Source organism: Homo sapiens, chromosome 12, assembly GCF_000001405.40.
Source record: "Homo sapiens chromosome 12, GRCh38.p14 Primary Assembly".
Classification (NCBI taxonomy): Eukaryota; Metazoa; Chordata; class Mammalia; order Primates; family Hominidae; genus Homo; species Homo sapiens.
Genome location: NC_000012.12, coordinates 127,971,611 through 127,984,501, shown reverse-complemented (window position 1 = coordinate 127,984,501; position 12,891 = coordinate 127,971,611). Strand labels below are relative to the sequence as shown.

Sequence of the window (12,891 nt, the reverse complement as noted above, 5' to 3'; positions counted from 1 at the left end):
AACTGGTGGGTTCTTGGTCTCACTGACTTCAAGAATGAAGTTGCAGACCCTCATGGTGAGTGTTAGAGTTCTTAAAGGCCAGCGTGTCCGAAGTTTGTTCCTTCTGATGTTCAGATGTGTTCAGAGTTTCTTCCTGCTAGTGGGTTCGTGGTCTCGCTGGCTTGAAGCTGCAGACCTTTGCAGTGAGTGTTACAGCTCACAAAGACAGTGTGGATACAAACAGTGAGCAGCAGCAAGATTTATTGCAAAGAGTAAAAGAACACAGCTACCATGGTGCGGAAGAGAACCCCAACACGTTACCATTGCTGGCTCCCGCAGCCTGCCTTTAATCTCTCATCTGGCCCAACCCACATCCTGCTGATTGGTCCATTTTAAGGAGAGCCGATTGGTCTGTTTTACTGAGAGCTGATTGGTCCGTTTTGACAGGGTGCTGATTGGTGCGTTTACAATCCCTGAGCTAGACGTAAAGGTTCTCCAAGTCCCCACCAGAGTAGCTAGATACAGAGTGTAGATTGGTGCATTCACAAACCCTGAGCTAGACACAGGGTGCTGATTGGTGTGTTTACAAACCTTGAGCTAGATAGAGTGCTGATTGGTGTATTTACAATCAATAAATGCTAGACATAAAGGTTCTCCACGTCCCCACCAGACTCAGGAGCCCAGCTGGCCTCACCCAGTGGATCCCGCACCAGGGCCGCAGGTGGAGCTGCCTCCCAGTCCCGCGCCGTGCGCCGGCACTCCTCAGCCCTTGGGTGGTCGATGGGACTGGGCGCCCTGGAGCAGGGGGCGGCGCTTGTCGGGGAGGCTCGGGCCGCGCAGGAGCCCATGGTGGGAGGGGGGAAGGCTCAGGCATGGCGGGCTGCAGGTCCCGAGCGCTGCCCGGCGGGGAGGCAGCTAAGGCCCGGCGAGAAATTGAGCGCAGCGCCAGTGGGCCAGTACTGCTAGGGAGACCCGGCGCACCCTCCGCAGCTGCTGGCCTCGGTGCTAAGCCTCTCACTGCCCGGGGCCGCCAGCGCCGGCCGGCCGCTCGGAGTGTGGGGCCCGCCAAGCCCACGCCCACCCGGAACTCTCGCTGGTCCGCAAGCGCCGCGCGCAGCCCTGGTTCCCGCCCATGCCTCTCCCTCCACACCACCCCGCAAGCTGAGGGAGCGGGTTGCGGCCTTGGCCAGTCCAGAAAGGGGCTCCCACAGTGCAGCGGTGGGCTGAAGGGCTCCTCAAGTGCAGCTGGAGTGGGCACCAGGGCCGAGGAGGTGCTCAGAGCGAGTGAGGGCTGCGAGGGCTGCCAGCATTCTGTCACCTCTCATCATGAGATCGGATGGATTTATCAGGTGTTTCCAGTTTTGCTTCTTCGTCATTTTCTGTCTTGTCGCCACCAGATAAGAAGTGACTTTCGCCCTCTGCCATGATTGTGAGACCTCCTCAGCCACGTGGAACTGTAAGTCTAATTAAACCTCTTTCTTTTGTAAATTGCCCAGTCTCGGGTATGTCTTTATCAGCAGCGAGAAAATGGACTAATACATTCACTAACAGTTAACAGAAAGCCCATTAAAATCATGAACCATCCAATAATAGCAAATCTTGGCCAGGTGTGGGGAATTATGGGTTATTACTGTCTGCTGGTGGAAGTTGAATTGGCATAGTTACAGTGCGGTAACTATTCGGTAGTATCTATTGAATTATTTAATAAGTAAGCCCTCTAGCCTTTCAAGTCAACCTCTTCTAATACCTTGAGAAAAACGCACATGCATGTATAACGGAGAGACCCAGAAACACATCCCATCATTGTTGGCAGGACTGAAAAGTTGGAAATAACCAGTGTCTATCATTGACAGAAGTGGCTGATAAAACTTTATATCTCTGACTGGGCACAGTGCTCACACCTGTAATCCCAGCACTTTGGGAGGCCAAGGCGAGTGGATCACCTGAGGTCAGGAGTTCAAGACAAGCCTGACCAGCATGGTGAAACTCTGTCTCTACTAAAAATACGAAAATTAGCTGGGTGTGGTTTGGGCGCCTGTAATCCCAGCTACTCAGGGGGCTGAGGCAGGAGAATCACTTGAACCCGGGAGGCGTCAGTTGCAGTGAACCGAGATCGTGCCATTGCACTCCAGCCTTGGTGACAGAGCGAGACTCCATCTCAAAAAAACAAACAAAACAAAACCGTTATCTCTCCATGAAATACTTTGAGGCAGTTGGGAAAAAAAAAAAAGCTACAAATACAGATGTTGAAAAAAACTCCTAAGCCATATTTTTGAGTGCTAAAGTACATTATTAAATAACCATGCAGTATGATATTTTGTAAGGAAGCAAAGACAAAAACATTATATGCTCCAATTCCTATCCGTGGGTAAATATGTTAGCAAAACCTCAGGAGAAGATCTGGAAGGCTGTACATGACATTGATCATGATAGTTACATCAGGTCCCAGGGGAGTGAAGCGGTGACCCGAGGAGCGTGTGCTTTCTCTGCAGCATGTTAATTTTTTACTAGGAACGTTTATTACAAACTACCTACATGATTAAGTTATTTTAAGGATATGACAAACATTTTTCTATAACCTGTTTTAATAACATTTCAGCAAAGTGACTTTCTCTCTGCACCCTGCCTTATCCCTGTTTGAATTATTTTAATGTGCTTATTCCCAGCAGGGCAGAATCCTTGGTGTCTGTAGTCCTCAGAGCCCCTCGGGCACACATCAGTCTCATGGTCCCTGTCCTCATAATCTGTGAGGGACGACCCTGGAGGCTTTCTAGCATTCCACACTTAGGGTGTTCACAACCCATGCGCAGGTCTCCACATCCACTTTCCTCCTCCGCTTTCACTCTCTCTTGTACCTAAGATATACCTCCCTGTACTCTTCAGGCACATTCAAACCCCCACCCATCTTGCAATTGCTAACAGAAACTCAGCTGCTTTCAAGACAACTTTCCCCATTCCTAATAACTTCAGGTGAACTTCTGCTGAATTCTGCTGTCATTCCTTCCTTCTGCTATGTGTCATTATGGAAGCTGTAGGACATGAAGCCGGAAATCCCAGAATCTGAGGTATCTATAGTTGGGTTCAGATACTGTTTCTGTAAATTACTTGTGTGCCCTCAGGTGTGCTATTTAACATCTCTGGTCGTTGGTTTTATGCATCTGTAAAACGAGTTTTAAAACAGTATTTTCCTCAGGTAACTGTGATAATGCTAAAATGCGTTAACATTAGAAGGGGCTCTACAAAAAAAAAAAAAAAAAAGAAGGGATGTTGGGAGCAGAGTCTCTGCCATTTACTTTTACATTTCCTATGGCACTGAGCACAAGCTAACTAGGTAAATAGCAGAAGTTTCCTAACAGGTGGGATTCTTTTCATTGCTAGTTCTGTGAAGTAGAAAAAGAATGCTGTATTAACCAAGAGTGACAAAGGGTCTTAATTCAGTTTCTCTCTCCTGGTGTGTTACCAATGAGATACATTATTGAGAAAAAGAAAAAAAGAAAGAAAAATAATTCCAATGGTGTGGATTTTCTAGGCCAGGCATTTCTCTGATGCACTGATATTGGGTGTTTCATTTTGTTTCAAGTTGGAATGAAATAATGACTTTATGCTCTCTCAGAATTGCTCCTGTAGGACCCTTTGGCAGAGTTATTTGTTTTTCCCCATCTGGCTGCCCACAGGGGTCAGACACTTCTCTCCTTTTAAACCTGGGGGCGTAGGGGGTGGGAAGGAGACAGTAGGGGTCACTGTGGTCCTCAGGCGTGGAGAGAGGTGTTGCCTGAGCAGAGCGAGACAGAAGGAAGACAGCTTTATCTCAAGGCTACTTGCACGTAGGCATCCTTAAAGCACCTTAGGCTCATGGTCTGTAAGACAGAGGGTCAAAATATCTTACTGCATGTTCTCATATGTGGGCACTTAAAAAATTGATCACATAGAGGTAGAGGAGTAGAATGATAGATACCAGAGACTGGAAAGGGGGTGTGCTGGTGGGAGGGCTGGGGAATGAAGAGAGCTTGGTTAATGGGTAAAATCATACAGTTAGATAGATGTGGGGGTCTGTCCTGCAGACCCTGACCCAGCGACGGATGAATAAAGTACACTGACACACAGATATTCTGCTTTGCCAGTTTGGCTGAGCGTCTGGGCCACTTAGTCGCAGCCGTGGCCTTGATCAGTCAGTGATACTTAAATTTATTCAGTAAAGATTAATTGACAAAGGTTGTGAGTAAACACCACTAGAGCGTAATTGACATTGCTGACTTCCCGAGTAGAAAGCAATTAAGCACCCACCGTAGATGAAAGGTTAGTCTTAGGACCACATGAGTAAACAAGCTAGTTAGGTAAACTACCTTGCTTTGTACCCACTTTAGGCTATTTACTCAAAATAAGGATTAGGTTGCCTTCAGCCATAACCTTATCCTGAGACTTTTGCAAAAATCTTCAGGCCTTCCAAGAAGGTTTGTGGCTTATCATTTTCCCCACCATCCTGAATAGATAGAAGGAATAAGTTCTAATGTTTCTTAGCAGAGTAGGTTGACTACAGTAAACAATATATTGGATCTTTGAAAATAGCTAGAAAAGATAACTTTTTGGGGAAGGTTATATATACAAATTTACTTTTTAAGTGTTATTATAATTTACTGGATTAATTTGGATTTTTTTATTTTAGATTCAGGAAGTGCATGTGCAGGTTTGTTTCCTGGTTACATTTTCTGATGCTGAGGTTTGGGTCATGAATGATCCCACCACCCAGGTAGTGAATGTGGTAACTAAGAGGTTTTTAACCCTTTCTTCCCTTCCTCCCTCCCACCTCCAGTAGTCCCCAGTGTCTGTTGTTCTCATTTTTATGTCCCTGAGTACCCAATGTTTAGCTCGTACTTATAAGTGAGAACATGGGATATTTGGTTTTCTGTTCTGCATTAGTTTGCGTAGGATAATAGCCTCCAGCTGCGTCCATGATGCTGAAAAGGGCATGATTTCATCCTTTTTTATGGCTGAGTAGAATTCCATGGTGTATATTCCCCTCTGTGAAACATGGTTGCTTTCTGTTTCCCTGTCTGAATATTTTCTTTATCCAGTCCACTGTTGATGGACACCTGGGTCGATTCCATGTCTTTGCTATCGTGAATAGTGTTGCCGTTAACAGGAGAGTACATGTGTCTTTTTGATAGAACAATTTGTTTTCTTTGGGATATATAGTCAGGAATGAGATTGCTGGATGGAATGGTAGTTCTGTTTTCAGTTCTTTGAGAAATCTGTAAATTGCTTTCCACAGTGACTGAACTAATTTACATTCCCACCAACAGTGTGTAAATGTTGCCTTTTCTCTGCAGCCTCGCCAGCATCTGTTGGTTTTTGACTTTTTATTTATTATTTATTTTTGTTTTGAGACAGAGTCTCATTCTGTCATCCAGGCTGGAGTGCAGTGGCATGATCTCAGCTCACTGCAACCTCTGCCTCCTGGGCTCAAGCTGTTCTCCTACCACAGCCTCCCAGGAATCTGTGATTACAGGTGCCCACCACCACGTCCAGCTAATTTTTGTATTTTTAGTAGAGACAAGGTTTCACCATATTGGCCAGACTGGTCTTGAACTCCTGACCTCAGATGATCCGGCTGCCTCGGCCTCCCGAAATGCTGGGATTACAGGCGTGAGCCACCGTGCCTGGCCTGACTTTTTAATAATAGCCATTCTGACTAGTGTGAGATCGTATCTCACTGTGGTTTTGATTTGCATTTATCTGATGATTAGTGATGTGGAGCATTTTTTCATAGGTTTGTTTGCCACTTGTATACCTAGAAGAGAGGACTTGAAATGTACTCATTGTATAGAAATGATAAACACTTGGGTGTTGGATACCCTGAACACCATGACTTGACTATTACACATTCTATGCATGTAACAAAACCTCACATGGACCCCATAAATATGTAGAAATGCAATGTAGCAAAAACATTTTTTTTTTTTTGAGACGGACTCTCGCTCTGTCACCCAGGCTGGAGTGCAGTGGTGCGATCTTGGCTCACTGCAAACTCTGCCTCCCGGGTTCATGCCATTCTTCTGCCTCAGCCTCCTGAGCAACTGGGACTATAGGCGCCCGCCACCACGCCCGGCTAAATTTTTTTTTTTTTGTATGTTTAGTAGAGACGGGTTTCACTGTGTTAGCCAGGATGGTCTCAATCTCCTGACCTCGTGATCCACCCACCTTGGCCTCCCAAAGTGCTGGGATTACAGGCGTGAGCCACCGCACCCAGCCACAAAATCAGTCTTAAAAGAATGTAAATGAAACGTCTATTTCCTAAGCAAGTAAGGTGCTTGGATTATTTTAAAATTATACATTAGTTATATGACCTTGAACAAAAACTTAACTTCTGTTAGATTAATTTTCCCCATCTGCAAAACTAGGACTTGAATTAAGTGATTTCCAAAAGTCTCATAAGATTGAAAATGCTGGAATTACATCAATTGCATACAATTCAGCTAATTTTTAATAACTGCTTCGCATGTATACAGTGCCCTGTGCACTGAAAAATAAAAAGTTAACATCACACACATACGTGAAATCTTACTGCATCTGTGAGTCTGTCTAGCTTGGCCAGGACAAGATGTAGAGTGTGTGGCCATTGCACCACATTGATGCGAACCCTGAGAGTGCCATTCCTGGCTCAGCTGCTCCCTTCACACTCACAATGTCAAGACCCCTGTTTCCCTGTCTGGAAGCAAGAGCATGGCATCCCCATTCACTCATCTACTAAGCAGGTATTTGCAGATGGCCTGCTGTGCCACAGGCTTTGTGCTGAGTATTGGGGATACAATGATAAACAAGACAGGCATGGAGTCTGGCCATCAGGAGTAGAAAGGAGAGTGAAAAAAGTGAAAAGAGATGGTGATTACAGAAGTCTGAATCTTCACTTCCTCCCTCAGGAGTTCTTAGCAGGAATGCGGGCGGTGAGGGGATCTATCTCACCTGGCCAGCTCCAGAGTGGATGTTGCTCTTCTGCCCCCGGACTGACCCTTGTCCTCCTTTCTATGTCTCCCCTTCGTTTACCTTGCTTCTTCTTAGTGTCCTGGTGATTAGCTGATGCTCTGAAGGAAAGAGTCTGAGAAAGAGAGAACAGCCTCCACTGATGGGAGCCAGGATGGCAGGGATGGTGGCCGTGGGAATTAATGTAGCCATCGAGAGGGAGATGGGGACAGGGAAAGAGGAGGAGAGACTTGGAGAGGAGGTACAGGAAGCATAGTGAGAAGGGAGGAGGGTGAGACTGCAGCCACCCATGTCAATGGGACAGTTTGCAAAGAGAGAGAGAGAGAAGAGAGCCAAGCCGGGTGGAATTAGAGGTGGAGGGGCTTCAGGGAGCTCCAAGAGGGATAGGACTAGAGAGGTGAGGACGAGAAGAATATGCTAATGTTGAGCCATGGGCAATGACCTGAGAAGGGGAAAGCAAAAGTGTTTCACAGAGAGGAACATGAGTAGCCAAGAAGAGTGTGCAGCAGGGAGAACCATTAACTTTGATGGGGACCTTAGCATCAAGTCCACCAAAGTTTTCAGATTGTGAGGTTGTTGTTAGGTAAAGTGGATATGCTTTGTCTCTGGATGGAATGTGAGAGTGAAGTAAATAATAGGTCTAGGATGATTCCAGGTAACTGAGTCAGTATCCCCACAGCCTGTCCACCCAACAGCTTTCTGTAGTATTAAACATTCAATAGAACTTCATCAGTCACTTCAGAAGAGGGGGAAAAAAGAGTTGGGAATTATAATACCCATTTAAGAATTCTGATGTTATCTTCTAGAATTTTTATAGTTTCAGGTCTTAGATTTAAGTCCTTGATCCATCTTTAGTTAATTTTTGTATAAGATGAGAGATGAGGATCCAGTTTCATTCTCCTACATGTGGCTAGTCAATTATCCCAGCACCATTTGTGGAATAGGGTGTCATTTCCCTGCTTTATGTTTTTGTTTGCTTTGTTGACGGTCAATTGGATGTAAGTATTTAGCTTTATTTCTAGGTTCTCTATTCTGTTCCATTAGTCTATGTGCCTATTTTTATATCAGTACCATGCTGTTTTGGTAACTATGGCTTCATAGTATAGTTTGAAGTCAGGTAATGTGATGCCGCCAGATTGGTTCTTTGAAGTCAGGTAATGTGATGCCTCCAGATTTGTTCTTTTTGCTTGGTCTTGCTTTGGCTACTTGGGCTCTTTTTTGGTTCCATAGGAATTTTGGGATTCATTTTCTAGTTCTGTGAAGAATGAGGGTGGTATTTTGATGGGATTTGCATTGAATTTGTAGATTGCTTTAGACAGTATGGTCATTTTCACAATATTGAGTCTACCCATCCATGAGCATGGGATGTGTTTCCATTTGTTTGTATTGTCTGTGATTTGTTTCAGCAGTGTTTTGTAGTTTTCCTTGTAGAGGTCTTTCACCTCCTTGGAAAAACCCTGCTAGACGTTGGCTTAGGCAAAGACTTCATGACCAAGAACCCAAAAGCAAATGCAACAAAAACAATGATAAATAGGTGGGACTTAATTAAGCTAAAAACTTTCTGCACAGAAAAAAAAATCAGCAGAGTAAACAGACAACCCACAGAGTGGGAGAAAATCTTCACAATCTATACATCTGACAAAGGACTAATATCCAGAATCTACAAGGAAATCAAACAAATTAGCAAGAAAAGAAACAATCTCATCAAAAAATGGGCTAAGGACATGAATAGACAATTCTCAAAAGAATATATACAAATGGCCAGTGAACGTATGAAAAATGCCAACATCACTAATGATTAGGGAAATACAAATCAAAACCATGATGCTATACCACCTTACTCATGCAAGAATGGCCATAATCAAAAAAATAATAAAATGACAGATGTCGGTGGGGATATGGTAAAAAGGGAACACTTCTACACTGCTGGTGGGAACGTAAACCAGTACAACCACTGCAGAAAACAGAGTGGAGATTTCTTAAAGAACTAAAAGTAGAACTACCTTTTGATCCAGCAGTCCCACTACTGGGCATCTACCCACAGGGAAGGAAGTCATTATACAAAAAAGATACTTGCACATGCATGTTTATAGCAGCACAGTTAGCAATTGCAAAACTGTGGAACCATCCCAAATGCCCATCAATCAGTGAGTGGATAAAGAAATTGTGATATATATACACCACAGAATACTATTCAGCTGTAAAAAGGAACAAAATAACGGCATTCACAGCAACCTAGGTGAAATTGGAGACCATTATTCTATGTGAAGTAACTCAGGAATGCAAAACCAAACATCGTATTTCTCACTCGTAAGTGGGAGCTAATCTATAAGGATGCAAAGGCATAAGAATGACACAATGGACTTTGGGGACTTGAGGGAAAGGGTGGAAGGGGGATGAAGTATAAAAGACTGCAAATTGGGTACAGTGTGTACTGCTTGGGTGATGGGTGCACCAAAATCTCACAAATCACCACTGAAGAACTTACTCATTTCACCGAATACCACCCATTCCCTGAAAATCTATGGGAATAAAGAGGAAATTAAAAAAAGAATTCTACCTGTTTTTCATTCAACTAGAAGAAATTGAGGTTTATAACAGTAAATGAGAAGCTGAAAAGTTAATGTTAAATGCAGTTAACCAGACCCCCTATTTTCATAATATTTCACAGCTTGAATATATTTGCTCTTTGAAATGTTCTCTGCTTGTTCTCAATAATAGTTTCAACTCTGAAGAACTAGGGGATTTCATCCCAAAATCTGAAAAACAGGACTTTTTAAGAAATAAAAAACATTTCAAAACTATGGCTTGCAAACCTATTTGTAATATTAGATATTATGTAATAAAATTCCAACTTCTGCAATGAAAATGATGCAGAACACTCAGTAGTGAAATAGATGCATATTTAGACCTGTTTGATTCAATAGCATTTCAGTAAAGACTTTCTATGGGAAGAATATCTCCTCAAGTTTTACTCTATAAGTGGTCTCCACTTCATTACAAACCTTTAAAATTACATCAGTTCTTGTACTATTAAAACAAAATATGAAAAATAAGTTATTTTATGAACAGCATCTTAAACTAATCCATTTAAACTAAACGTGACCTGTTTGCAACTAAGGTGGCAAAATAGGATTTTACAGATTTATCTGTGAAAGAGTGGAACAGATTTAAATAAACACTTAACTCCATAACTCTAAAAGTAACTAGAAAGTGACAGAAACATAACGACACTAAGAAGGGGGATGAAAAGAGCTTTGCTCATTCTAATGACACAGTAAGCTCAAAAACAAACTACGTGGGACAGTGAAACTACTCTGTGTGATACTACAGTTGTGGATGCATGTCAGTATGCATTTGTGCAAACCCAGAGAACTTACACCAAGAGTGAACTCTAACATGTACTGCAACTTTGGGTGATAATGATGTGTTAATGTGCGATCATCCATTGTAACACATGGACCACTCTGGTGGCTGATGTTGATATGGGGGAGGCTGATGTATGTGTCAGGGTGGAGCGTATATGGGAAATCTCAGTACCTTCCTCTCAATTTTGCAGTAAACTTAAAACTACTCTAAACATAACACAAAATCTACTAAAAAAGAATAGCAAATGAAAGATGAAGAGAGAAGGGAAAAGAAAAGAAAAGAAAGAAAAAAGAGAAAAGAAAAGGAATTAGGATTCTCTGATAAAATATTACTGTGTATTCCAGAGTCAGCTAATGGATAGTTTTCAGATTGAATTTTTTCTACAGTGAGTTTTTTCTTATGGTGCTCAGTGTTTAAACTTACATTTAATTGGTTACCCCAAAGAAATACTGTGTGGTGCTCTAATGGTGGATACGTGTCAGTATATATTTGTGCAAACTCTTACGACTTCCACATGAACATCTCTATTTCAGTCCTCACCCCTGCCCCTTGGCCCACGTTCTTATGGGGCAAGATCAGTGGGAGCAGAGTCTCAACCTTCCTCCCCTGCAGGGGCTCCCAGTTCTCCACAGGCCTAAATAGTTTTCCTGATTCTTCACTGTATTAGTCTGTTCTCATGTTGCTAGTAAAGACCTGCCCAAGACTGGGTAATTATAAAGGAAAGAGGTTTAATGGACTCACAGTCCCACATAGCTGGGGAGGCCTCACAATCATGGCAGAAGGCCAAGGAGGAGCAGTCACATCTTACATGGTTGCGGGCAAGAGAGAGCTTGTACAGGGGAACTCCCATTTATAAAACCATCAGATCTCAAGAGACTTAGTCATTATCAGGAGAATGGCATGGGAAAACCCACTCCCATGATTCAGTTACCTCCCACTGGGTCCCTCCCATGACACGTGGGGATTATGGGATCTACAATTCAAGCTGAGATTTGGGTGGGGACACAAAGCCTAACCATATCATTCACCTTGCTCACTTCATCAGGCATTGGAGTGGCCCCTCTTAAACGGATTTTAAGTTACTTGTGCTAGTGTTGGCTTTGCCCAGTTGCTGCAGAATTTGCTTGCAAAGAAAATGAAAGCTTGGTTGAATTTACAACAAAAAAAAATCTACAGTGTGTACTTTAATACCTGCTAAAATAGAGTGGTAACAGAGTCAGAGGAGAAGAACACTATCAAGTTACAAGTGGAATAAGAGCCACAGGATATTTCCCTGCAGGGAAAGCCAATGATCCTACGGCACGATGGAGGACCGGAGCCTGGCCGTGGTGTTGGAGGGATAGAAATTACTAAACCATCAGGAAAGATGCATTTTCTAAAAGGACTAGGACTTTTTTTTTTTTTTTTTTTTTTTTTTTTTTTTTTTACCACCAGGAGTCTTTTGAGAAATGGTCTCACCCCTAAAGGGACTGATATTTACACAAAGGGCTATTTTAAAACATAAATATAAAATCATCAGGCTGATGGGCCAGTTTATTCAGCAGAGTTTATCCTATGTAGGAGATATTTGTTAGACTTTGTGGCCACACAATTTGTTTTTGCATTTTTTTATTGAGTGAAATTTACATAACATAAAATTAATCATTTAAAGCATACAATTTAGTGGCATGAAGGACATTTACAGTGTTATGCAATCATCACCTCTATCTAGTTGTAGAGTATTTTTATTATCCCCAAGGGAAACGTCCTGCCCTTTTAGAAGTCACTATTTCCTCTCATGTCCTGACAATCACTAATTTACTTTCTATGTATTTGCCTAATGTCAGCTTTTCATATAAACAATATCATACAATAGATGGCCTTTTGTGATGGCTTCTTTTACTGAGCAGTGTTTTCAAGGTTCGTCCCCATTGTGAAATGTAGCATGCTTCATTCCTTTTTGTGGCTAAATAATATTCCTTTTTATGGATATGCCACTTTTCTGTACCCACTCACCCATTGACGGATATTTGTGCTTTTTCCTTTTTTAAAAAATTGTGAATCATGCTGCTATGCACATGCAAGTTCACTTCTTCTTGAACATCTGTTTTTATTTTTGGGGTGTGTACCTAGGAGTAAAATTGATGGGTCATATGATAATTCTGTGTTTAACATCCAATATATGTTAATGAGGTTGTTAAGTTTGGAAAATTTCCTACTTCATGGACACTTTTGTTCTTCAAGGTATTGTCAGAAAAATATTCCAGATTTTACTCTTAAGACAACCCATGGAAGTCATTGATAGGGAAGATGGTGATATGAAGTGGGATGTGCTAATTAGAATCCATTTGGCAGGGGTGGGGGTGAGAGATCCTTGACTTTCAGGGGCTGCAGCAGCAGCAGATGTACTTGGATGAGCGTCCTGTGCTCTACGGTGGCAGTAGGAACTACCATACCAGTGCTAATGATGGCAATAGGAGTGTCTGCCTTGCAACAGCTTGGATGTAATTTGGGCATTTTCCAGCTGTGGATCTCTGCCCCTGTTTCCTTAGCCTTTTGTAGGGTCTATAGTGAATTCATTTGTTT

At 42.7% G+C, this 12,891-nt stretch overlaps 1 long non-coding RNA gene across 1 annotated transcript in view; it reads left to right on the top strand.

The window, feature by feature from the left end:
- Positions 1-610: 610 nt before the first annotated feature.
- Positions 611-12,891, top strand: part of LINC00508 (long intergenic non-protein coding RNA 508) — a 99,903-nt gene continuing 87,622 nt past the window's right edge. Inside the window, exons 1-2 of the long non-coding RNA NR_126452.2 lie at positions 611-700; positions 1,377-1,435. This is a non-coding gene — a long non-coding RNA (long intergenic non-protein coding RNA 508). The remainder of the gene's footprint in view (positions 701-1,376; positions 1,436-12,891) is intronic.